General features: G+C 43.0%; 1 protein-coding gene across 8 annotated transcripts, besides 5 other annotated features; it reads right to left on the bottom strand.

Moving 5' to 3' along the window:
- Positions 1-840: 840 nt before the first annotated feature.
- Positions 841-23,490, bottom strand: CNIH4 (cornichon family member 4). 8 transcript variants are annotated; one of them, NM_014184.4, is made up of 5 exons: positions 23,300-23,414; positions 19,730-19,798; positions 14,302-14,414; positions 8,870-9,010; positions 841-4,498 (listed from the first exon to the last, which is right to left on the bottom strand). In NM_014184.4, the coding sequence occupies exons 1-5, from the start codon at positions 23,366-23,368 to the stop codon at positions 4,471-4,473; spliced, it is 420 nt and encodes a 139-aa protein (NP_054903.1). In that variant the 5' UTR covers positions 23,369-23,414; the 3' UTR covers positions 841-4,470. The 8 variants fall into 8 exon arrangements, 7 of the variants coding, with proteins under 7 accessions (NP_054903.1, NP_001264129.1, NP_001264127.1 ...); NM_001277200.2 differs by having other exon boundaries at positions 841-1,224; NM_001277198.2 differs by having other exon boundaries at positions 8,870-8,963.
- Positions 2,237-2,326: an enhancer, noted in NCBI's record as "active region_2611". NCBI's record gives its function as "activates an Ori minimal core promoter by ATAC-STARR-seq in GM12878 lymphoblastoid cells {active_cell/tissue: GM12878}" and the evidence as "EXISTENCE:reporter gene assay evidence [ECO:0000049][PMID:35858748]".
- Positions 2,697-2,746: an enhancer, noted in NCBI's record as "active region_2610". NCBI's record gives its function as "activates an Ori minimal core promoter by ATAC-STARR-seq in GM12878 lymphoblastoid cells {active_cell/tissue: GM12878}" and the evidence as "EXISTENCE:reporter gene assay evidence [ECO:0000049][PMID:35858748]".
- Positions 22,564-23,064: an enhancer, noted in NCBI's record as "H3K27ac hESC enhancer chr1:224544931-224545431 (GRCh37/hg19 assembly coordinates)". NCBI's record gives its function as "activates a minimal SCP1, AML or CMV promoter by ChIP-STARR-seq in primed H9 embryonic stem cells {active_cell/tissue: H9 hESC(primed)}" and the evidence as "EXISTENCE:reporter gene assay evidence [ECO:0000049][PMID:30033119]".
- Positions 22,564-23,341: a biological region, named in NCBI's record as "H3K27ac hESC enhancer GRCh37_chr1:224544931-224545431".
- Positions 22,972-23,341: a silencer, noted in NCBI's record as "silent region_1852". NCBI's record gives its function as "represses an Ori minimal core promoter by ATAC-STARR-seq in GM12878 lymphoblastoid cells {active_cell/tissue: GM12878}" and the evidence as "EXISTENCE:reporter gene assay evidence [ECO:0000049][PMID:35858748]".

Raw genomic sequence — 23,617 nt, 5'->3', positions numbered from 1 at the left:
TAACGTTTAATGGGAACTGATATAGATGAAACCAAGATTGCTCCATAACGGATGTAGCAAACCAAATATACAGCAGAGGAAGCCACAGGCAAACCACTGAGTTCTCTCTCAGCCTGCTGATTCCGACCACCCACCCACTCACTCTTCTCCACCCAGCTTCAGAGGGAAGCAATTAAAAATAAAAGCAGCCTTTACCCAAGAACTTATTAAAGAGCACCTGAGCTCAGAACCAAGTTAGCTCAGTGAACAGTCCCTTCAGCATGTCCAGACCATTATTGTGATTACTGTAGTGAAGAATGATAACCCGAAAGCTTTGAATGACCTTCAGTCATTAGACTGTATTTAACTGAAGCAAAAAAAAGTTACCTTTTCAAAAATTCCTGAAAAATATGGCTTAGATCCAAAAGGCTTCATTTACCAAGAATATTTCAATCTTTGCTATACTACATAGTAAAATAGTATATTTGGTTTAAAGTACATAAACTCAGGTGACAAAGATCCAGATATTGTAGAATTTCAAACTTACCTTCTCTATCTTGCTGCCCTTTTCCATATATTAGAACAAGTTTATTTAGATTTTGGGGACAACTAATTATACCTAGTATATAATATTTCTCACTACTTGACAAAGTATTACCTGTTAGCAAAGCTGATTTCTCCAGTCTCAAGTGAACCAGTTATAGCCATTTCCTAGCCTAGCATGTCAGAATATTTCATAATGTGACTGTCTTGAAAACAAAGATGGTCAACTTTGATTATGTTGCTCCATTGCTGCTTCTCTGACTTAAAGGCCATCAGTTTGACTTCTTGCTGAAAAAGCAATAGAACACCACAATCAGGTTTACTTATTCACTCAACAATCATTTATTGTTTGTGTGCAAGGCACTGTGTTAGGTGCCAAGAGCAGAAGGAAGAAGATACAAATATGAATGGGCATATTCTGCCCTCCAGGAACATACAATCTAAGAGTGATTAATTGCATACAAATAACTGTAATACCAGATAGAATGTGGTAAGTGCCATGGGAGATACTACTATAGGAAGCTTTCTTAGCTCTTAACTTCAAAGACCAGGTCAGGTTTTGTCCTACTGTAGTCTGTGGCAGGCATGAAAAGGCAGCTGAGGGGACCTGCTAGGCTTTGATGAACTGAGCTGCATCTTGGATTTCGCTTCCTCTTCTTTCTCAGCCGAGGTTACGGTGATTAGCAAGGGCAGTTGCTACCACTGAAAGGATAGAAGGAAAAAGGCAAGGGAAAATGATACGTACTAAGATGCACATAGGAGCACTCGATAGTAGTCTATGGACCGGGCCCTGGGTACTGCCATTATAGAGGGAAGGGGAAGAGGAGTGGTAAGGGAGAGAGAACACTGGACTAAGCCTCAGCATTCAGATGTTCCCAGTTACAACACCCTGAACGATCTCTAGGCCTCAGCATTCAGATGTTCCCAGTTACAACACCCTGAACGATCTCTAGGCCTCAGCATTCAGATGTTCCCAGTTACAACACCCTGAACGATCTCTAGGCCTCAGCATTCAGATGTTCCCAGTTACAACACCCTGAACGATCTCTAGGCCTCAGCATTCAGATGTTCCCAGTTACAACACCCTGAACGATCTCTAGGCCTCAGCATTCAGATGTTCCCAGTTACAACACCCTGAACGATCTCTAGGCCTCAGCATTCAGATGTTCCCAGTTACAACACCCTGAACGATCTCTAGGCCTCAGCATTCAGATGTTCCCAGTTACAACACCCTGAACGATCTCTAGGCCTCAGTTTATCTTTGGGATGAGGGAGTTAGACAAAATGATCTCTAAGGTCCTCTACAACTCTCCAATCAATGAAAAGGGGAGAACATTTATAGCATCTTAAACATGGCTTTTTAAAGTCAGTGCTTTTATCCCCCTTTCATGATTTGTAGAAGTGCCCCTAAAAAAATTGTTTTTGAGCTGGGCGTGGTGGCTCACACCAGTAATCCCAACATCTGGGAGGCCGAGGCAGGAGAATCGCTTGAGGCCAGTAATTTTGATACCAGCCTAGGCAACATAGCAAGACCTCTGTCTCTACAAAAAATTCGCTGGGCATGGTGGTGTGCACCTACTCCCAACTACTTGGGAAGCTGAGGCAGGAGGACTGCTTGAGTCCAGGAGTTCAAGGCTGCAGTGTACCACGATTGCGCCAGTGCACTCCAGCTTGGGCGACAGGGCAAGACTCTGTCTCTAATTAAAAAAAAAAAAAATTTAACTACAGTGATCCCCCACTTTCCTGGCTTTGATAGACAAGCAATACAAGAAGGAAGAGTTTTTGTTTTTAACCACAGCTAATGTTTCAGAAGTAAGGAGCTTTGACCTCTGTTATAAACATGGCACCTTTCTGATTTGCTTAGCCTCAGCAAGCCTGATGTACTGTAAACTGACAGCCCAAAGGCTCTCTCAACTGCATGAGTCACTGTTTTGGTTACTAAGAATATCTGAATGAGAAGGTGAAACATTTTGGTCAAAAGTCATCTACATGGCCAGGCGCAGTGGCTCACACCTATAATCCCAGCACTTTGGGAGACCAAGGCAGGCAGATCGTTTGAGGTCAGGAGTTTGAGACCAGCCTGGCCAACATGGTGAAACCCCATCTCTACTAAAAATACAAAAATTAGCCAGGAGTAGCTAGCCGTAATCCCAGCTACTTGGGAGGCTGAGGCAGGAGAATCGCTTGAACCCAGAAAGCAGAGGTTGCAGTGAGCTGAGATCACACCACTGCACTCCAGCCTGGGCAACACAGCAAGACCCCATCTCAAAAAAAAAAAAAAAAAGATCTCTACCGCCTTTAAGTAGCTTATCTCTCAGTTGCAAGGATTTAAGTTCTCCAACAGCTTCGTTGCTTTAAAAAGCTTGAGCAGAACATGAAGAGGCACAGGAAGTTAGGAGGAAAGGCAGAGTGAAGGGACTGTTTTCTAAGCAAAAGCTGCCTCAGAGGGAAAAGGTATGAAAAAGAGATGCAAGCAAAGTAATGTCTGTTACACAGCTTCTTGGCCCTGTGCCTGACAGAAATATAAGATTACCACAAGGAGCAATTTCTGTGACCCCAAAGAGGCCAGCAGAGCCAAGTTCACTTTGCCTACCATTTCACCGTTCCTTTTGTGTGTTGCCAGGGCACTACTTCCAGCCTTGAAACATGGTCTGTCTGCACAGGGAGTTTGGCTTAGTGGCTCCCTTGCTTCTGCCAAGGCTAGACCTGGTCAAGGACTAAAAGGACATGTAACATTTAATCTTTTGGGTACCACACACCCTGTTTAGCCACCCAATTCTATCTCAACTAGAGTGAATAATGCCTTTGGATTCTCCCACAGAACACAGTCATGTTTTGCCCAAATGCCAGTGCTTAAGATAGCAACATTAAACCACAAACTAGGACTGAGGATAAATTGCCAGGTTTATTTTACCCTGTAAGAGCTGGCAAACAGAGCTAAGGAGGTGAACTGCTCTCCCACCTGCAAGAGTTTACAATATAACTCCAAGGAACAGAGTTTGGTTGTATATTGCTATGTCCATGAAATGGCTTGCATTTGGTCTCCCAGTTCACAACGTGGTCAGTGCAGAGGGATAGAAGTGTTGATCTGGCACCACGTGGCGCACCAAAAGGCTCAATTTCACAGACAGCAAATAACTATTCCTGCTTCTAATCTGATTAGCATCTTCTACCCAAACCCATGAAAATACGTTATCAGGGAGATCAAATACAATTGGAATAACTGCAATACGAAAACCAGACTGGCAAGAGCCAGTGGGGATTTTCTGGGTTTGGGGGTGATTGTGGAGGTAGTAGCTTTTAAATGAAAGCTCTTGACAAAATATTTCCTTTCTATCAGCAGGAACTACATTGTACCTGGGGAAAATGGCTTATAAGGTTTCACAAATTGTGCAAAGAAATATATATATTTTGAGATGCCATTCTCTGTTGACATTCTTGTGAAAAGACTTTTAGCTGACAGTCTCATAAATCTTTAAACCATATTAAATGAAGTTGTCACAACACAAGCAAAAAGGGTAATTTTTCTTCTTTTGTCCAGATCAACAGTGTTGTTTTGTACTCTAACTTTTCAGTAGACCTGAAGGGCACCTTTGCTCGCTCATCTCTTCAGTTTGCCCTTTAAAGTGTGTTCTTTATTTCTTTGGCATGCAAAGCTGGGATGGCAGTCCTGTTCCTACATACAAATAACCACCTTCAACATACAGAGGATGAAAAACACCTTCAAGTGTTGGCGTTCAGGCTAAAGTTGAGAACTAGAAATCTACAGAAACTCAATTCATGTTTTTTAAATACTTTATATGGTAAAAATACAGCAAAAATAGTTTTTTGTTCCAAGAGGAAAATATATACTGCTATGGTCACGGTTCTAAGGATGATTTAAGAAGTCTCTGGCTCCTCAACTGTGCACTGTAGTGTAGGCTGACTTCAACCACGGCTTCTCCAGCTTCAGTCATTTATCAAAGCTAAGATCATACTGTGGAAAGAAGAAATGAATGTCACTAATGTTTTCTCAGGAATGTTCCTACAGAGCCTGGTTTGTCCAGACTTGCGTCCCTAAGGTTCACAAAGGAACAATCATTTGAGTAAAAGACAATCATTCATACCCAAAGGAAAGAATATATTAGGATCTTTCATGTCCAAACTTTTTCACTAAAAAAGAGTGACTGGGGGTGGGGAGTTGGGGGAAGTACAACTTAAAACCTATGTTAGGCTATAGTTAAAAAAATAAAAACAAAACAAAACAAAAACAACCTAGCTCAGTTAAAAAAAAACAAAACAAAACAAAAAACACCTATGTCCAGAAAAAAAAACCTTTAAATTCTCTAGCCAGATACATACTGTTCTATGCCTGGAACCTCTTCTCCCCATCCCACCACTCCATCAAAGCAGTAACTTCTTACTCAGGTTTTGTGATTGGCTCTAGGGCACCTCGTTGGGGAAGCTGGCCTCTCAGCCCAGGGCAGTTGCACAGCCTCCTTCCACAGCTCTTCTTCCTGCTGCTGTGGCTTACATGTTGTCTCTACCACTGGACTATGAGCAACTCTTGAGATGAAAGCAGGGCCCAAGCATTACCACTTTCATGTTCTACTAGCAACCGGGCCTGCAATTACCAAGTTCCAAGCTTTTACCGTAGGGGTTCTGTGCTGCTCCTCTGTGTCACTTGCAATGTTGTACACAATGTCTGACACACAGCAGTCACCCAATAAATGCTACGCCACTAAAATTGACACAGTTAACAATAACAAAACCATCCTTTCCTTTGAAATACTGGGATCAGCCTTGCTCTGCTGAAATGAAATGCCTAAAATACACAAAAATATCCTTACATCACTTATGGTATAAATAATTGTCCAAATTCAACCATACTAAATGTACTCAATGCACAGTAAAAATTAATGATAGCAGCTAATATTTTTTAAAGATTTTTGAGAGTTTACTATGGGTCAGCATAAACAAGTGTCTTACATGTATTATCTCAGCCCACATTAAAATGTGATGAGGTAGGTACTATTAATATCATTAATATCCCCTTTTCAGATCAGAAACTGAGGCTCAGACAAGTTAAGAAACTTGCCCCAGGCCGGGTGTGGTGGCTCACGCCTGTAATCCCAGCACTTTGGGAGGCCGAGGTGGGTGGATCACCTGACCAACATGGTGAAACCCTGACTCTACTAAAGATACAAAAATTAGCCGGGCATGGTGGCGTGCGCCTATAATCCCAGCTACACGGGAGGCTGAAGCAAGAGAATCCCTGGAACCTGGGAGGCGGAGGCTGCAGTGAGCTGAGATCATGCCACTGCACTCCAGCCTGGGGGACAGAGTGTGAGACTCCATCTCAAAAGAAAAAAAAAAAAGAAACGAAACTTGCCCCAGGCCACAGTGTAAGTGGTAGAGCCCACATTCCACTAGGCTAGCACCCAATCAAAAAACCAAAAGCATAGATTCCCCCATTCTCTAAAGAAGATGAGCATTTTTTCAAAACTTTAACTCCATTCAACAAGTCCTGAAATGTCAACTAGGTCCAAGGTATTAGGCAAGGTGTGGCAGATGTTAGATACAAAGACAAGTAGCATAAAATCTCTGCAATCAAAAGCTAATGACTTGGTAGTAATAGCAAAACCACTGTTTAAAAACAGCAACCAAAAACCAAGAGAAAAGTGCTACAAGGACATCTTCTGACCCTCTGAACTATATGTAACACCAAAGGGTAACGTAATAGCAATGTGGCTGAAAATGACAGGCTGATAGGGAAGGGAAAGGAAGGGAAGAGAGAAAAGAAAACTGTACAGCCAGTGAAGTACACAGCTGCCCAGGCAAACCAGTTACATGAGTTGCCTATCTTTTATTTAGTTATAAAGAACAATATCTTAAACCTGCCCCAAAATTACATCTTAATTCCTCCAGTCCAACTCCCCACCACTTTATTTTTTCTTTTTTTTTGAGACGGAGCCTTACTCTGTCACCCAGGCTGCAGTGCAGTGGCATGATATCGGCTCACCGCAACCTCCACCTCCCGGGTTCAAGCGATTCTCCTGCCTCAGCCTCCCGAGTAGCTGGGATTACAGGCGCCCGCCACCACACCTGGCCAATTTTTGTATATTTAGTAGAGATGGGGTTTCACCATTTGGGCCAGGCTGGTCTTGAACTCCTGACCTTGTGATCCACCCACCTCGGCCTCCCAAAGTGCTGGGATTACAGGCATGAGCCACCGAGCCCAGCCACTCCCCACCACTTTAAATTCTACGACTAAGAGTTCAGAAACTCATGTACATTTTTAAATCCTAAGACTTTGAGTCTACTAAGCAAGATACCTCCAAGCCTAAATTTACTCTGCAAAGCATGACTACGTGGGCTGTACCTACAGCACCGCCCCCAGGAGATGCCTGCTCTAGTTTACTTTCCAACAGCATGAAACCGCAGGGGTGGGGAGGATGAAGAAAGGATAACCTTAGCTAAGCCAATTCCAGCTTGTTTTTTGTCTCTTCAGAAACAAATATAAGGGAACATATATGACAGTAAAGATACAAAAGTATTAAAAACAAGAATAGGTGCATCATTATGTTCTCATCATTAACTTTTTTTGCTCCTTATTCATCATCTTTGATACTTGGATTAAGAACTAAGCATATTAGTAATGAGGTAGGGTATGAGAATCAGAAACTGATACCAGTGTGCTTTTTCTGATCTAGTTTTTAAGACACAGAAAAGCAAATAAGATGAATGGTGAAAAGAAAACTATCTAAACTCCAATTTTAATCTAATCCACTAATGGGTGGATTTAGCACAGTGAAGGGATTTTAGGAAGCCTGCTTTGTCAGGAAGAGGCTAAAATGGTTCTGACTTCTAAACTATTTCAAAAAAATAGCAATTTTTAAAAACTGCTATCTTGGCCAGGCACGGTGGCTCATGCCTGTAATCCCAGCACTTTGGGAGGCCGAGGTGGGCGGATCATGAGGTCAGGAGATTGAGACCATCCTGAAACCCCATCTCTACTAAAAATAGAAAAAAAAAAAAAAAATTAGCCAGGCGTGGTGGCACGCACCTGTAGTCCCAGCTACTTGGGAGGCTGAGGCAGGAGAATCGCTTGAACCTGGGAGGTGGAGGTTGCAGTGAGCCGAGACTGTGCCACTGTACTCCACCCTGGGTGACAGAGCGAGACTCTGTCTCGAAAAACAAAACAAAACAAAACAAACAAAAAAAAAACCCCTGCTATCTCTATACAGTTTCTAATCAAGAATTTTCTGAGTGGTGGAAGTTTACTTCAACATAAGTTTTTCCTAATAGTCCTTATGCCTATGTGAAAAATTAAACTCTACCTAGGAGAAAAAATAAAAATGATCTAATTAAAGCTTTGATACAAAGGTTAAGCCTGACTTCTAGCTTTTCAAAGGTTTAATCAAATCGTATACACAGGAATTTTTTTTTCTCCTTTGCTCTATTCTATGCATCTATGATGGATAAAGGAAAAGGTGGCATGTTCACCTCTAAAACACACAGGAATAATTTAAAACAGGACTATATAAGGCTTCCAATGTCTGACAGCCAATCTATCATATTAATTCTTACTTCCAGTGTGTTATAACTAGAAGACTGATACAACTTTACCATAATAGACATTTAGCATGCTGGAGAATGAGCATCACACCTAAATTACTTATTGCCAAGAAAGATCAGCACAATTTGGATAAAAGTTGCTGAGAGCTGCTGCTAGTGGTGTGATCCCCCAAAGACCATGAGTGGGATGGTCGCTGAGGCACATATATTAATGCTTATAACAGGCAGTGGAACTCCACAGCTGTATACTACTAGGGAAGGAAAAAAATATGAAACAGAGTTTCACTATTGTTGCCCAGGATGGAGTGCAATGGCGCGATCCTGGCTCACCACAACCTCTGCTTCCCAGGTTCAAGTGATTCTCCTGCCTCAGCCTCCCAAGTAGCTGGGATTACAGGCATGTGCCACCACGCCCACCTAATTTTGTATTTTTAGTAGAGTCGGTGTTTCTCCATGTTGGTCAGGCTGGTCTCGAACTCCCGACCTCAGGTGATCTGCCCTCCTCGGCCTCCCAAAGTGCTGGGATTACAGGCGTAAGTCACCGTGCCCTGTTTTAAGCATGTGGATAGCCTCAAAGCTAAGGCATAACTAAGATGCAACAGGGTAGATCTACTGTAGTTCAGACAGAAAGCTGATTCAATGACATACATAAATAATCTACACAGCCACAAGGAATTTACATAATCCCCGAAAGTTCCACAATGTCAATGCAAAATCCTATAGTATAGTAATATCTCACCCTTCAAAAACAAATATGGCATCTAGGAAAATACCAGGACTTTAAACTCACCTATAAAGATACATGAAGAAGCAGAGCAAGTGGAAACCAAGCTTGATCATGGCTTCTTTCATGTGTGACTTCAGCTGCCCTCGATTGTGTATTTCTGTTGGATCAAACACTCCCATGTTACCACTCGGCACCATAATGTATCTGATAAATTAAAGGATACACACATTAGAAGGATAATCAAATCATAGGCATAAGTATTCAAATATAAGTAGCCAATAATAATCGACTTTTAAAAGTGAACCAATCAGGCCCAGTACTGTGGCTCATGCCGGTAATCCCAGCACTTTGGCAGGCCAAGGCAGGTGGATCACCTGAGGTCAGGAGTTCAAGACCAGCTTGACCAACATGGTGAAACCCTGTCTCTACTAAAAATACAAAAATTAGCTGGGCATGGTGGCAGGCAACTGGAATTCCAGCTACTCGAGAAGCTGAGGCAGGATAATCACCTGAACCCGGAAGGCAGAGGTTGCAGTGAACCAAGATCGTGCCATTGAGCCCCAGCCTGGGTGACAGAGCAGAACTCCATCTCAAAAAAAAAAAAAAAAAAAGTGAGCCAATCATAGCAGCCTTAAATTCATACCACATATGTACAGAGTAGTATGATAATGTCATGGGCTGCCACTTAGTTTCCTTTTGAAAGTTATAATACTGTTAATCTTCTGCCCTGTAAAATAAATACAGTAACATTCCAGAAAAGGATATTTTATGCACTGAAACCCTTTTACTCATCTGTAGAAAACTACCATACCAGTCACATCTACAGCCCTTTTCCATTAGACAAAGGTTAAAGAAGGCTTCAAACCCAAACCAATTTTATTAAGTTCTTAGAAACTTCATTATGGAAACAGGGAAATTAAGGAAGTTAGGTTACTTTGAGAGGATCAATGAATTTAAGTGTCTGGGCTTCAACATCCAGACTGTGTCATCTGTGTAACATATATGTCCTAACCTAGCACTGTCCATGAATTCTTCCTGCTCTCACGTCTAAGCTTCTTCTAGTACAACCTTAGTTGTCACACAGCTTCTCAATTATCACTTCTTTGAAATGCAAAGGACTCTCTGAGTTCCACAAATCTGAAATTCTCCCTTAAAACCCCAGTAGCCCGACTATAGCTGAATAGAGGGTATTTTCATTTGAATATCCAGATAACATCTCATCCTTGTCTAATTTCTAGGTTATCTAATAAGAGTGTCACCATTTTCTTGGTGGTCCTTAAAAACTTCCTCTTACCCAACTGGGACTTCTCTCTTCCTCATCTTTCATAGCCAGTCCATCAAACCCTTGTCCAGTCTTTCTTCCTACCACCACTTACTTAGCTGTCTTTTTTTTCCTTTTTGTATTTTTGTTTTATTTTTAATTTTTGTGGGTACACAGTAGGTATATATATTTATGGGTTATATGAGAGATTTTGATACAGGCATGCAATGTGTACTAATCCCATCAGGGTAAGGCTGGGCACAGTGGCTCACACCTGTAATCCCAGCACTCCAGGAGGCCGAGGCGGGAGGATTGCCTGAGGTTGAGTTCAAGACCAACCTGACCAACATGGAGAAATCCCATTGCTACTAAAAATACAAAATTAGCCAGGCGTGGTGGCGCATGCCTGTAATCCCACCTACTCAGGAGGCTGAGGCAGGAGAATCGCTTGGACCCGGGAGACGGAGGTTGCAATGAGCCAAGATTGCGGTATCACACTCCAGCCTGGGCAACAAGAGCAAACCTCCGTCTCAAAAAAAAAAAAAAAAAATCACATCAGGGTAAACGGGGTATCCATTACCTCAAGCATTTATCCTTTGTGTTACAAACGATCCAGTTATACTTTTTTAGTTTATTATTATTATTATTTTTAGACGTAATCTCGCTCTGTTGCCCAGGCTGGAGTGTAGTGGCAAGATCTCGGCTCAGCGCAACCTCCTCCTCCTGGATTCAAGCAATTCTCCTGCCTCAGGCTGCGGAGTAGCTGGGATTACAGGTGCCCAACACCACCATGCCCAGCTAATTTTTGTATTTTTAGTAGAGATGGGGTCTCCCCGTGTTGGCCAAGATGGTCCTGAACTCCTGACCTCAGGTGATCCTCCCACCTCGGCCTCCCAAAGTGCTGGGATTACAGAAGTGAGCCACTGCGCTCATCTCTAAAACACACAGGAATAATTTAAAACAGGACTATATAAGGCTTCCAGTGTCTGACAGCCAATCTTTCATATTAATTCTTACTTCCAGTGCGTTATAACTAGAAGACTGATACAACTTTACCATAATAGACCATTCAGCATACTGGAGAATGAGCATCACACCTAAATTACTTATTGCCAAGAAAGATCAGCACAATTTGGATAAAAGTAGCTGAGAGCTGTGGTATGATTCCCCAAAGACCATGAGTGGGATGGTCGCTGAGGCACATATATTAATGCTTATAACAGGCAGGGGAACTCTACAGCTGTATACTACTAGGGCAGGAAAAAAATATCAAAGACAGTTTTTGGTATTTTTTTGATATCAAAAAAAAAAAAAAGACACACACAGTAAAAAGTGTTGGCAAGGATGTAGAGAAAATGGAACCCCCAATACACAGTTGATGGGAATGTCAAATAGTGCAGCTGTGGCTGGGCACACTGGCTCACACCTGTAATCCCAACACGTTGGGTGGCTGAGGTGGGAGGATCGCTTGAGCCCAGGAGGTCGAGGCTGTAGTAAGCAAACATCACGCCACTGCACTCCAACCTAGGCAACAGAGTGAGACTCTATCTCGAAAAAAAAAAAAGTGCAGCTGCTTCTGAAAACACTCAGGCAGTCCCTCAAAAGGTTAAATATAGAGTTACTATATGACTCAGTGATTCCACTCCTAGGTATTTTGCCTCTTTGTCCTGTGGACTACTGTACTTCATCTCCAACAGCATAAAGTATAGTGGTCTGAAAATAGCAAATAATCTATCTGTTGATTTTTTAAACCTTTTTAAATAGAAGGTAAACTTGTGACCAGCAGACAGCCAACCTGTCACTGCAGTTACCAGGGCAATAAATATACATGATCTTTGTCTTTATTTTATAATTATATTTAAAAAAGAATCTCCAGTGTTTCTGTTTGTTTTTTTGAGGCTGGGTCTCGCTCTGTTTCCCGGCTGGAGTGCAGTGGTGCAATCTCGGCTCACTGCAACCTCCGCCTCCCAGATTCAAGTGATTCTCCTGCCTCAGCCTCCCAAGTAGCTGGGACTACAAGCGCATGCCACCACGCCCAGCTAATTTTTGTATTTTTAGTAGAGATGCAGTTTCTCCACGTTAGCCAGGGCTGGTCTCGAACTCCTGACCTCAGGTAATCCACCCACCTCAGCCTCTTAAAGTGCTGGGATTATAGGCATGGGCCACCACGCCCGGCCTAAAAAAAGAATCTTTGGACTTGACTTCATAGAACCTTTTACCACTATCTACAAAGAAGCCATGCCAAAGCTGGCTCTTCTAGCAGGTTTTCATTTCTAGTAGAGATGACTGACAGTATGGTCTGGTATAACATTAAGATCCTCATTCTCAAAGATTCGAGTCCCCATTCTCACTCCCAAAGTTGTGTTTCACTTAAGTGAAACTACAGGTAGACTTAGCTGTGCTAAAAGTCTGTCTGGGACTAGCCCGCAGCAGAAGTGCAAGTAATCTGTGTTCCCAGCTCAGAGCTCACTTTAGGGCGTTGGTCTATGGAACTGATCATGGGAGAGTACTACTAAGCTTGAAAGAGGCCAGGTGCGGTGGTGTGCACCTGCAGTCCCAACTGCCCAGGAGGCTGAGGTGGGAAGATCGCTTCAGCCCAGGAGTTCAAGGCTGTAGTGCACTATATCACACCTGTGAATAGCCATTGCATTCCAGCCTGAGCAACACAGCAAGACTTCATCTCTTAAAAAAAAAAAAAAAATTCAGAACCCATGTTCAGTATATTAAAAAATGAAAAAGAAAACAAAAAATTCGACCCCAGGGTACCCACCCTCTAGAAAAGAGACACAGATATTTTAAAGCTTTTCCCTCACTCAGATTCTAGTTTCATGACCTTTATAAAATCATTCCCCCATATCCACTCCTTCCCTCACCTCTACTGCTGCCATTATCTTTTCATGTGCATCCCATCTTCCTCCAAACCCTACTTTATTTTTTTCTGTTCTTTTTATTCTAACTGCACTTTACAACATCATACTTAAAAAACAGCCAATGAATGGTCCTGTCCCAAAAAACTAGACATAAATAAAAATGAAATAAAACCTAAAAATGTAGTAGAGCAGCAACCCACTAATATAACAATTACAGGCTTGTCAAGATTATCCCAGCGGTCTTCACAAGAAAGTATGCTATGTCTAATAACCCAACTATAAAATTATATACTTCAGGGTTTCCATTGAGCTCATTTTGAACAAACTTCCTAAATTTATTAAATAAAAAATTTTGATTAGTTACCTAATTTGCAGCTTTTTTTTTTTTTTTCTTGAGACGGAGTCTCGCTCTGTCGCCCAGGCTGGTTGCAGTGGCGTGACCTCAGCTCACTTCAAGCTCCGCCTCCCGGCTTCACGCCATTCTCCCACCTCAGCCTCCCAAGTAGCTGGGACTACAGGTGCACGCCACCATGCCTGGCTAATTTTTTTTTTTATTTTTAGTAGAGATGGGGTTTCACCGTGTTAGCCAGGATGGTCTCGATCTCCTGACCTCAAGTGATCCACCCACCTCAGCCTCCCAAAGTGCTGGGATTACAGGCGTGAGCCACTGTACCCAGCCCTAATTTGCAGCTTTTAAACGTACTTCCAGCCCGGCGCTGTGGCTCACACCTGTAATCCCAGCACTTTGAGAGGCTAAGGTGGGCGGATCACTTGAGGTCAGGAGTTTGAGACCAGCCTGACCAACATGGTGAAACCCTGTCTACTAAAAATACAAAAATTAGCCAGGCACTGTGGCAGGCACCTGAATCCTAGCTACTCAGGAGGCTGAGGCAGGAGAATGGCTTGAACCCAGGAGGCGGAAGTTGCAGTGAGCTGAGATCAAGCCACTGTACTCCAGCCTGGGTGACAGAGTGAGACTCCATCTCCAAAAAAAAAGAAAAAAAGCTCTTAAACACCTTTTTTGGCTCACACCTATAAATAATCCCAGCCCTTTGGGAGGCCGAGACCAGCAGATCACCTGAGGTCAGGAGTTCAAGACCAGCCGGGCCAACATGGTGAAACCCTGTCTCTAGTAAAAATACAAAAATTAGCCAGGTGTGGTGGTGCACGCCTGTAGTCCCAGCTACTTGGGAGGCTGAAGTGGGAGAATCGCTTAAACTGAGGAGGCAGAAATTGCAGTGAGCTGAGATCACACCACTGCACTCCAGCCTGGGTAACAGAGTAAGATCCTGTCTTGAAAAAAACACAACTTTTTAAATTTTTTTTTAACTACCTTGACACCAAAGTAAACAAACTATACTCACCGATATATATTCCAAGTGGCAACAGGTAAGTTGAGAAGGAAGATGAACCAGTGCAATGACATGAGCAGTAATACAGTGACAATGGTATGGCCAATCAATTCTGGAATTACCCACTGCAATGGAAGAACACAGTATTACATCTCACTGCTATGTCCTTCCTGACTGTACATGTTATTTGAAACTAAATCAATGAACGTACAGAGAATTTACAAGCTACTGTTTCAAGATTATTTTTAGACTCCCATGTCCCAGATTTGCATACTGCTATAACTTTGTATCCCATGCAAATATATCAGGGCACAACTTAAAAATAAAGCACTTAAATTTCAATTACTTTTTATCCTAAGCAAAGGCTTAGGTTCATTCATTAAGCAGATTTGAATGAGAACTAGAGAAAAAAAGAGTATTGTTTAGTTCCTATTCTAGTATCTATGCCAAAGCCCCTAGCTCTAATTTGGGATGTCTGATATCCACACACATGTTGCCTTTCAAGTCAGAATAGCAACGTTAAACATTTTCCAATCTCCAGAATCCCGAGGAAACCATTTCATATTCAGAGAAAAACAAAAAATAATAAGAATGTAAAAGCTTACAATAATAGCTCAAAGTTGACCAAATATGATAATGAAGCAGAATGCCAGAATCCTGGCCTATCGGCTTTACAGAGCTCCATGCCCTTCCCTATGCTATTTGTTGACTGTGTAATGTTCTAGTTCTCATGCATCAACAGCTTTTGTGGCAGGGTTCTCAATTCACCAACAGCTTTCCTTTCCTATGAGTACAGATTTTTAATTAAAGTTAACTTCTTTTAGTGGAAGTTAATATTTAATGAAAGAAACTGGCATGCCTCACTTTCAGAAATGAGGAAAACAAAACTCAGAGTGGTTAGGTAAATTGCCTAAGGTTACACAGCTAAATAATGGCAGAGCAATATAGTGTAAGCCCAGGCACAATGACCTCAGACCTCTTGCATTTAGATTTTGGATAATTTTTTGGTAAATAAAGAAGTAGAGATTTTTCTGGGCCATAAACCTAATTTGCAATCAACTTGGTTATACTTTTTTTTTTTTTTCGCTCTGTCGCCAGGCTGGAGTGCAGTGGCATGATCTTGGCTCACTGAAACCTCCGCCTCCCGGGTTCAACCAATTCTCTTGCCTCAACCTCCCGAGTAGCTGGGACTACAGGCGCCCGCCACCATGCCAGCTAATTTTTGTATTTTTTAGTAGAGACGGAGTTTCACCATGTTGGCCAGGATGGTCTCAATCTCTCAACCTTGTGATCCACCCACCTCAGCCTCCCAAAGTGCTGGGATTACAGGCGTGAGCCACTGCGCCCTGCCGGCTATACTTTTTAAAATGCTATTACATATTGGAAAGTTCTAGTTGATTGCATAATTCTTACAAGTATGAGCTACAAAGTCAAACAAACCTGGAATGGAACTCATGCTATGTCCTATTTATTAGCTGTGCAATCTTGGGAAAAGTTACCCTCTCTAAGCCACAATGTTTTCATCTGTAAAATACACATAATACCTACCTCACGAAGTTGTTGTAGAGAATTAGATGAAATAACATGTAAGCCACATGCAAAGTAGGCACTCAATAAAATGTCAGCTGATGTTATACTAATACTCTGCGATCCATATCAGATCCCTAAAGCTATAGCCTTCAGTCTCTGGATTTCTTACTGTAGGCTGCAGTCATCTTTGTATTACACAGACACAGACCTGAAACATGTTTCTTTTTTTTTTCCTCTTGTTTTATTTTTGTAGAGAGGAAGTCTCCCTATGTTACCAGAGCTGGTCTCGAACCGCTGGGCTCAAGTGATTCTCCCTCCTCGGCCTCCCAAAGTACTGGGGACAGGTGTCAGCCACTGCAACTGGCCTGAAATATGTTTCAGGAAGCAAGACTTCACCTTATTATGCTTGGTTTACTGACTTTCAACCAAGTCCTCTGTTTTTTGTCTCTTCCCTCCTTAACGATATGCCCTTCCCCGAATTTGTTCTCAGTACACTGGCACTAGACTCATATCCTCCATGAAGGAACTTGGAGGATTTTTCTCTAAAGTAAATGACTCGAAAAAACACCTACCAAAACACCGCCATTTCAGGTACCCCAACAAAAGTCCAGGTAGATAACAATTACCCTACAGGGAAGTCTACCAGTCAACAAATCTAGACCATCCAAAGAGCTTTCAATGAGCATTTTAGTGCTTTACCCTTAAATATGAATAGGCAGTCATATATCAGAAATTTGAAGAAAGCCTCCAAAATCAAAGACAGATGGGGGGAAAAAAAGAAAGGAAAAGAACTGGATGGAAACAGATATAATATTGGAAGCAGAAGAAAATTTCAAAAATACTATAATCAGCCAGGCATGGTGGTGCACATCTGCAGTCCCAGCTACTTGGGACACTAAGGCGGGAGGATTGCTTGAGCCTAGAAATTCAAGGCTGCAATGAAATATGATTGTGCCACTGTACTTCAGCCTGGATGAGAGAAAAAGACCCTATCTTTAATAAAAAATAGAAAAATACTATAATCAGTATTCGCAGAGAACTAGGAGTCAAACATGAACCAAGAGAATAAAAACCTCTTAAAAATCATCATTTTAGCATAAATGCTACATTTGTTAGAAAATTCAAAAGAAGGCTGGGTGCAGTGGCTCATGCCTGTAATCCCAGCACTTTGGGAGGCCGAGGAGAGCAGATCACCTGATGTCAGGAGTCGGAGACCAGCCTGGCCAACGTGGCGAGACTTCATCTCTATTAAAAATACAAAAATTAGCCAGCATGGTGGCACACCCCTGTAATCCCAGCTACTCAGGAGGCTGAGGCACAAGAATTGTTTAAACCCAGGAGTTGGAGGTGTCAGTGAGCCAAGATAGCACCACTGCACTCCAGCCTAGACAACAAGTGCAAAACTCCATCTCAAAAAGAAAGAAAAAAGAAAAAAAGAAAATTCAGAAGAAAAAGCAAGGGAAATAATAAAAACAGCAGAAAAAAAATCAAAGAGATAAAACTAAGAAAAAGGAAAAATTGGCAGATCAATCCAGCAGATCAATTGTCTAGTTAGTGGATGTTGTAGGAAGAGAAGGAGGGAAAAAAGATGGGGAAGAAACATCAAAGAAAGAATACAAGAAAATTTCCCATATTGAAAGAGCCTATCAGATGTCCAAAACAAACAAGAAAGGCCTTTTAAAAAGTACACAGAGGGCCAGGCACAGTGGCTCATGCCTGTAATCCCAGCACTTTGGGCAGATTACGAGGTCAGGAGATCAAGACCATCCTGGCTAACATGGTGAAACCCTGTCTCTATTAAAAATACAAAAACAAAATTAGCCAGGCATGGTGGCAGGCGCCTGTAGTCCCAGCTACTCGGGAGGCTGAAGCGGGAGAATGGCGTGAACCGGGGAGGTAGAGCTTGCAGTGAGCTGAGATCACGCCACTGCAATCTAGTCTGGGCCACAGAGCAAGACTCCGTCTCAAAAAAAAAAAAAAAAAAAAGTACACAGCGATACAGCACTGTAAAATTTCAAAACACCAAGGATAAAGATTCTAAAACTTTCCCATAGAGGACAGGAAAAGAGAGAAAGAGAGAGAGAGAGAGAGAATGAGAATGAGAATCATATAGAATAGATGAGAAATTCTTTGGGAGGCTGAGGCGGGCAGATCATGAGGTCAGGAGATTGAGACCATCCTGGCTAACACGGTGAAACCCCGTCTCCACTAAAAAATACAAAAAAATTAGCCGGGCGTGGTGGTGGGCGCCTGTAGTCCCAGTTACTTGGGAGGCTGAGGCAGGAGAATAGCATGAACCCGGGAGGCAGAGCTTGCAGTGAGCCAAGATCGCACCACTGCACTCCAGCTTAGGCAACAGAGTGAGACTCCGTCTCAAAAAAAAAAAAATGGCATGGTACTTCCCAACTTGAACCACTGGAAGTCAGAAGACCACCAAGGGGTGTCTTTAAAATTCTGAAAGAAAAATCTTTTCCAGCCTAGAACCCTGTACTCTGACAACTATGAATCAAGTGTAAAGATAAGACATTTTCAAACATGGAAGGCCTCAAAATTTAATTGGCAGTTACCTTATCTCAAGAAGCTACATGAGGCTGGGCGCAGTGGCTCACAACTGTAATCCTAACACTTTGGGAGGCCAAAGAGGGCAGATCACTTGAGCCTAGGAATTTCAGACCAGCCTGGGCAACATAGTGAAACCCTGTCTCTACAAAAAAATTTTAAAAATCAGCCAGGTATGGTGGCACACACCTGTAGTCCCACCTACATGGGAGGCTGAGGTGGAAGGATCGCTTGAGCCTAGGAGGTCAAGGCTGCAGTGAGCCATGATCGCATCACTGCACTCCAGCCTGGGCAACAGAGTGAGACTCTGCCTCAAACAATCAAACAAAATTTATGAAAATTTTTAAAATATGGAGCTTAGGCCAGGCATGGTGGCTGACACCTGTAATCCCAGCACTTTGCCAAGACAGCAGGATTGCTTAAGGCCAGGAGTTCAAAGCCAGTCTAGATCACATAGCAAGACCCAGTCTACAAAAAAATTTAAAAATTAGCCAGGTGGCTGGGCACGGTGGCTCACACCTATAATCCTAACACTTTGGGAGGCTGAGGCAGGCGAATCACTTGAGGTCAGGAGTTTGAAACCAGCCTGGCCAACATGGTGAAACCCCATCTCTATGAAAAATACAAAAAAAATTAGCCAGGTGTGGTGGCAGTGCCTGTAATCCCAGCTACTTGGGAGGCTGAGGCAGGAGAAACGCTTGAACCTGGGAGGCAGAGGCTGCAGTGAGTCCAGATCACACCACTGCACTCCGGCCTGGGTGACAGAGTGAGACTCCATCTCAAAAAAAAAAAAAAAAAAATTAGCCAGGCATGGTGGCATGCGCCTGTAGTCCCAGCTACTCAGAAGGCCGAGGCAGATCACTTGAGCCTAGGAATTCAAGAATAGCCTGATCACCACTGCAAGAAACCTTCTCTCTCAATAAATAAATAAATAAATAAAGAGTCATACATTAAAAAAAAATTATTTTCTCGGTAAACTACACAAGAAAGGTCTTCTTTCATTCAACCAAAGACAGACTTGAGCTTTTTTCCGTGAGTGGGAGGAGGGAGTTCCAACGCAGAAGACAAAAACAATTACCCTCATGATGAACATTTCCCTACTCTGAGTAAAGATGCTATCCGCTGTAAACAAGAGACAAGCAACATATAAAGAAACAAAATTTCAAGTCAGATCTTCTAGCATAATTTCATGATCTAAAATATTGTAAAACACAGCAGTTCCATCAAATTTCCAATGAATAAGAGACAACATGTACTCTAAAATCAAAAATACATCTGTTATCTATAATAATCTTAAGTATGGAAAATGACCTGGCTTCAATGCCAGAGAATGAGCAAAGAAATGTCTTACCTTGTTTAATTTTGAGCAACATGATCTAGCATTAATGTAATCACATTCTAAATCAGACAATGTAATTATCTGATGATCAAGATAAGGAATTATTATATTTCTTTTATAATAACTAAGTATTTAAGTTTCAGAAAGCAATCCCAGTTACAAGGCAGAATTAGATTTGACTTGAAAAAAATGAGTTGTTTCCTAAAGTTTGCTCATTAGACAACTCAATTTTCCCATTCATGTTCCTTCAACAAATTATTTTACAAAATAATCCTATTTTGCTCAAATCTAATCTGACCCAACCAGAACATTTAGTTTGAGTTCTTCAAATGTAAAACAATGGCTATTAAAAAAAAAAAAATGGGAAATATCCCAGCACTTTGGGAAGCTGAGGCAGGAGGATCGCCTGAAGCAGGAGTTCAAGATCAGCATAGGCAACATAGCAAGCCTCCATCTCTTTCACCCAGGCTGTAGTGCAGTGGCGCAATTCCAACGCACTGCTACCCCTGCCTCCTGGGTTCAAGCAATTCTTGTGCCTCAGCCTTCCAAGTAGCTGGAACTATAGGTGCGCGCCACCACCACACCCAGCTAATTTTTTGTATTTTTAGTAGAGACGGGGTTTCACTATGTTAGCCAGGCTGGTCTCGAACTCCTGGCTTCAAGTGATTCACTCACCTCACCCCCATCTCTACAAATTTTTTCTTTTTTTTTCATTAGCCGGGCATGAGCACCTGTAATGCTAGCTATTAGTAGCAGTACTGCTAAGGTGAGGCAGCAAAATGCCTAGAGCCCAGGATTCACGTTACACTGAGCTATAATCACACCAGTGCGCTCCAGTCTGAGCAGCAGATTTGGTAGGCACTTGTAGTCTCAGTTACTTGAGAGGCTGAGGCAGGAGAATCGCTTGAACCCAGGAGATGGAGGCAGCAGTAAGCCAAGATTGCGCCACTGCACTCCAGCCTGGGTGACAGTGAGACTCTGTCTCAAAAATAAACATGAAAATAAAATAAAGTCAAACTCATCACTTTCTCCACAGATTGATCTTCCTCCAATTTGTTTTATTTCTGTTACTGACACAAGTATCACTTGCCCAGGATCAAAATATGGAAAGCTATCTCTGCCTTCTGTTTCATATATCATAATCACTCATTTGTAGGTCCTGGCAATCATTTCTTCTAAATACTACTCACATATTCCCTCCTTTCACCTGCCCACAACCAGCACTCTATTTGAAATCCAGACGACCCTATCCAGTTGGTTTATCTTCCAATCTTTCTTGTTTCCAACCCACTCGGCAGATTCATCTTCCTAATAAACTACCGAAAATAAAAATTTTCAATGGCTCTCTATTGCCTGCAGGATAAAAGTGAAAGACTTCCCTCCCACCCTTAACATTCAAGCCCTCCAAAATCTGATGTAATCCTGCCTTTCCAACTTAGCCTTCTACTGACGCCAAAATCAACCATGTGCTCCAGATGGTCTATTCGTTAACCATAGCCCAGAAATCCACGAACATACCTGTCTCTGCACCTTCGCTCTTGCCAGTGTCTGATTTGGAATATTCACCTCTTCCCCTTCCTGTAGATTTTGTCCACAGTTCAAAGTCCAAGAAAACTCTTATATCCTATATTAAGTCTACCGTGACCATTTTCCACCTCCTATCCCTAAGTTAGTGCAACTATTCTAAAATACAGAATATGCTGAATTTCATCAAAACACCCCCCGAATGTATTTTAATGTAATGTCTAAGTCAAACATTCCACCTACCATTTCTCTAAATGCATAAATTGGTGTAAACCAGGGCTATTTAAAATTATCAAGCCTGGTTTTCCAAACTGCAAAAAGAAAAAACCCAGCTACATTTCTGAGCATAAGCTCTAGTTCAGGGGTGTCCAATCTTTTGGCTTCCCTGGGCCACACTGGAAGAAGAATTGCCTTGGGCCACACATAAAATACACTAATACTAATGATAGCTGATGAACTTAAAAAAAAATCACCAAAAAAGAATCATAATGTTTTAAGAAAGTTTACAAATTTGTGTTGGGCCACATTCAAAGCTGTCCTGGACCACATGCAGCCCGTGGGCCGTGGGTTGGACAAGCTTGCTCTAGTTCCTTATATCACAAGAGGGGCATAGAGGTCATCAAAACTTAGGCAAGTGATGCTGCCCTTTCAATCAGCTCCCCAAACCTACTAAAACTCAGAAATCTTGTCGTTAGATATCATCAAAGTAAAAACTGCTGCTCAATTGGGGAGGGTGGGGACACGAAGGCAGAGCAATATTTACTGAACATTAGCTATGGGGCAGGCACTGTGCTAGGGTGCTCAGCACCATTCTCATTGTGCATATCTAGGAAATAAACATTTCCTATTTTAAAGATCAGAAAACTGAGGCTTAGGGAAATAATGTGCAAGCAAAGAGCTAGCTGACCAGGAAATCTGATTCCAAATTTTGTCCCTTTCCACTACAACAGGATGCCAGTCCACAATGAAAAATGAAGCTGCACTGAACATATACTCTGTACGACTATCCTAAAGCCCGCATGCTCTAGCAAACAAATGGTTTAATCCGATCAGAAACAGGTACATGTGATTTCCAAGAAAGGAAGCTGAAATGCGGAGTTCCTCATACGTTTTTTCTTATATTTAATTACTTAAACCTGGATGGTGCAATACAACATTGGGCAACAACTAAGCCTAGATGCTTTGTCAAGAGATGGGAAGAGTTGTAGCCGACATGGCTACTGCAGTGCTAAATTCAACCACCATTTATTGCTCTGGAAAACAGTTTGAATACTGCAACTTAAGTTTTAACATGGATCGATAGAAAAATTTAAAAGCTGAGAAACGATTGGGAACTACAGCAGATGTAGTTATTGAATTTACAGATCTGCAACCACCGGGGACAACCAAAATAATCACTTTGTAGACAGTTGTTAAAACAACTCCTTTCCAACACTCACTACAAAACGGCACAGTGAAGGAAGCAACTTCGCTCCTTTGGCGAATGAGTCAACTCCTGGATGTGAAAGGTCCCTGCAAGTACTAACACCCGCCAGAACAAAGGGGCGGGTGCCGGGGGTGTTGCGTGGGGAACAGGAGGAGGCAAATGGCCCGCACTTATCCCGGCACCCGACTGTCGCAAGCGACCGCCCTTGGGACCCCCAATATCCGACGAAGAGCACGGCGCAGGGCCTCTCCCAGAAAAACAGCGACGCTTCTCTCCCGAGGGCGGCCGTGGCTCAGGCAGGGCTGGTCCGGGCGCCGCGGGGACGAGCGGAGAGCAGGCGGGCAGGCCGAGACGGGGCGCGCCCGGAGAGGCCCACTCGGACCCGAGTGAGGGGCGGCCGGCAACCCAGGCAGGGCAAGTGCGTGCAGGGCAGCAGGGCCCGTCGGGTAGGGCAGCCAGCCTCTCCTACCCGCTCCGGGGCCCGCGCCACCGCCCCGGCCAGGCCAGCTCCCAGGGAGCCCACGCCCGCCGCCGGGCGCCTCCCTAGTCCCACACACCTGCCCGGGTGCCCAACTGGCCCACCCTCAGCCGTGTCCCCCGGCAAGGCGTTCGCCTGCCTCAGGCAAGGATACGAAGTAGACCGAGAGGAAGATGAGCGCGCAACAATCGAGGAGAGAGAAGACGAACACCACCGCCTCCATCCTCCTCCTCCGTCGCCGCCGCTCCTTCCGTCAAACCCGCTCGGATGCCCCGACCCACCCCTGATAGGCCCTTGCCGGGGCTGGCTGAGGCGTGTGGTCCTCGAATCCTGGTGTGGCATGCCGGGAGTTGTAGTCCATATTTTAAAAAACTCTACGGCCCTAATTCTGACGCATGCTGGGAATTGTAGTTCATTAGTACAAGTCCATATCAAAGAGGTGGGCAGGGCCTCTTTCATAAATCCGATTATT

Source organism: Homo sapiens, chromosome 1 (assembly GCF_000001405.40).
Source record: "Homo sapiens chromosome 1, GRCh38.p14 Primary Assembly".
NCBI lineage: Eukaryota > Metazoa > Chordata > Mammalia > Primates > Hominidae > Homo > Homo sapiens.
This window is presented reverse-complemented; position numbering and strand designations above follow the sequence as displayed.

Coding starts and splice junctions, on each gene's coding strand:
- CNIH4 (NM_014184.4), bottom strand. CDS start 23,368: ATGGAGGCGGTGGTGTTCGTCTTCTCTCTCCTCGATTGTTGCGCGCTC. Junction 19,799..23,299: donor TCTTCCTCTCGGTCTACTTC/GTATCCTTGCCT, acceptor CTTGATCATCAG/ATAATTACATTGTCTGATTT. Junction 9,011..14,301: donor GCCACTTGGAATATATATCG/GTGAGTATAGTT, acceptor TTAATTTATCAG/ATACATTATGGTGCCGAGTG.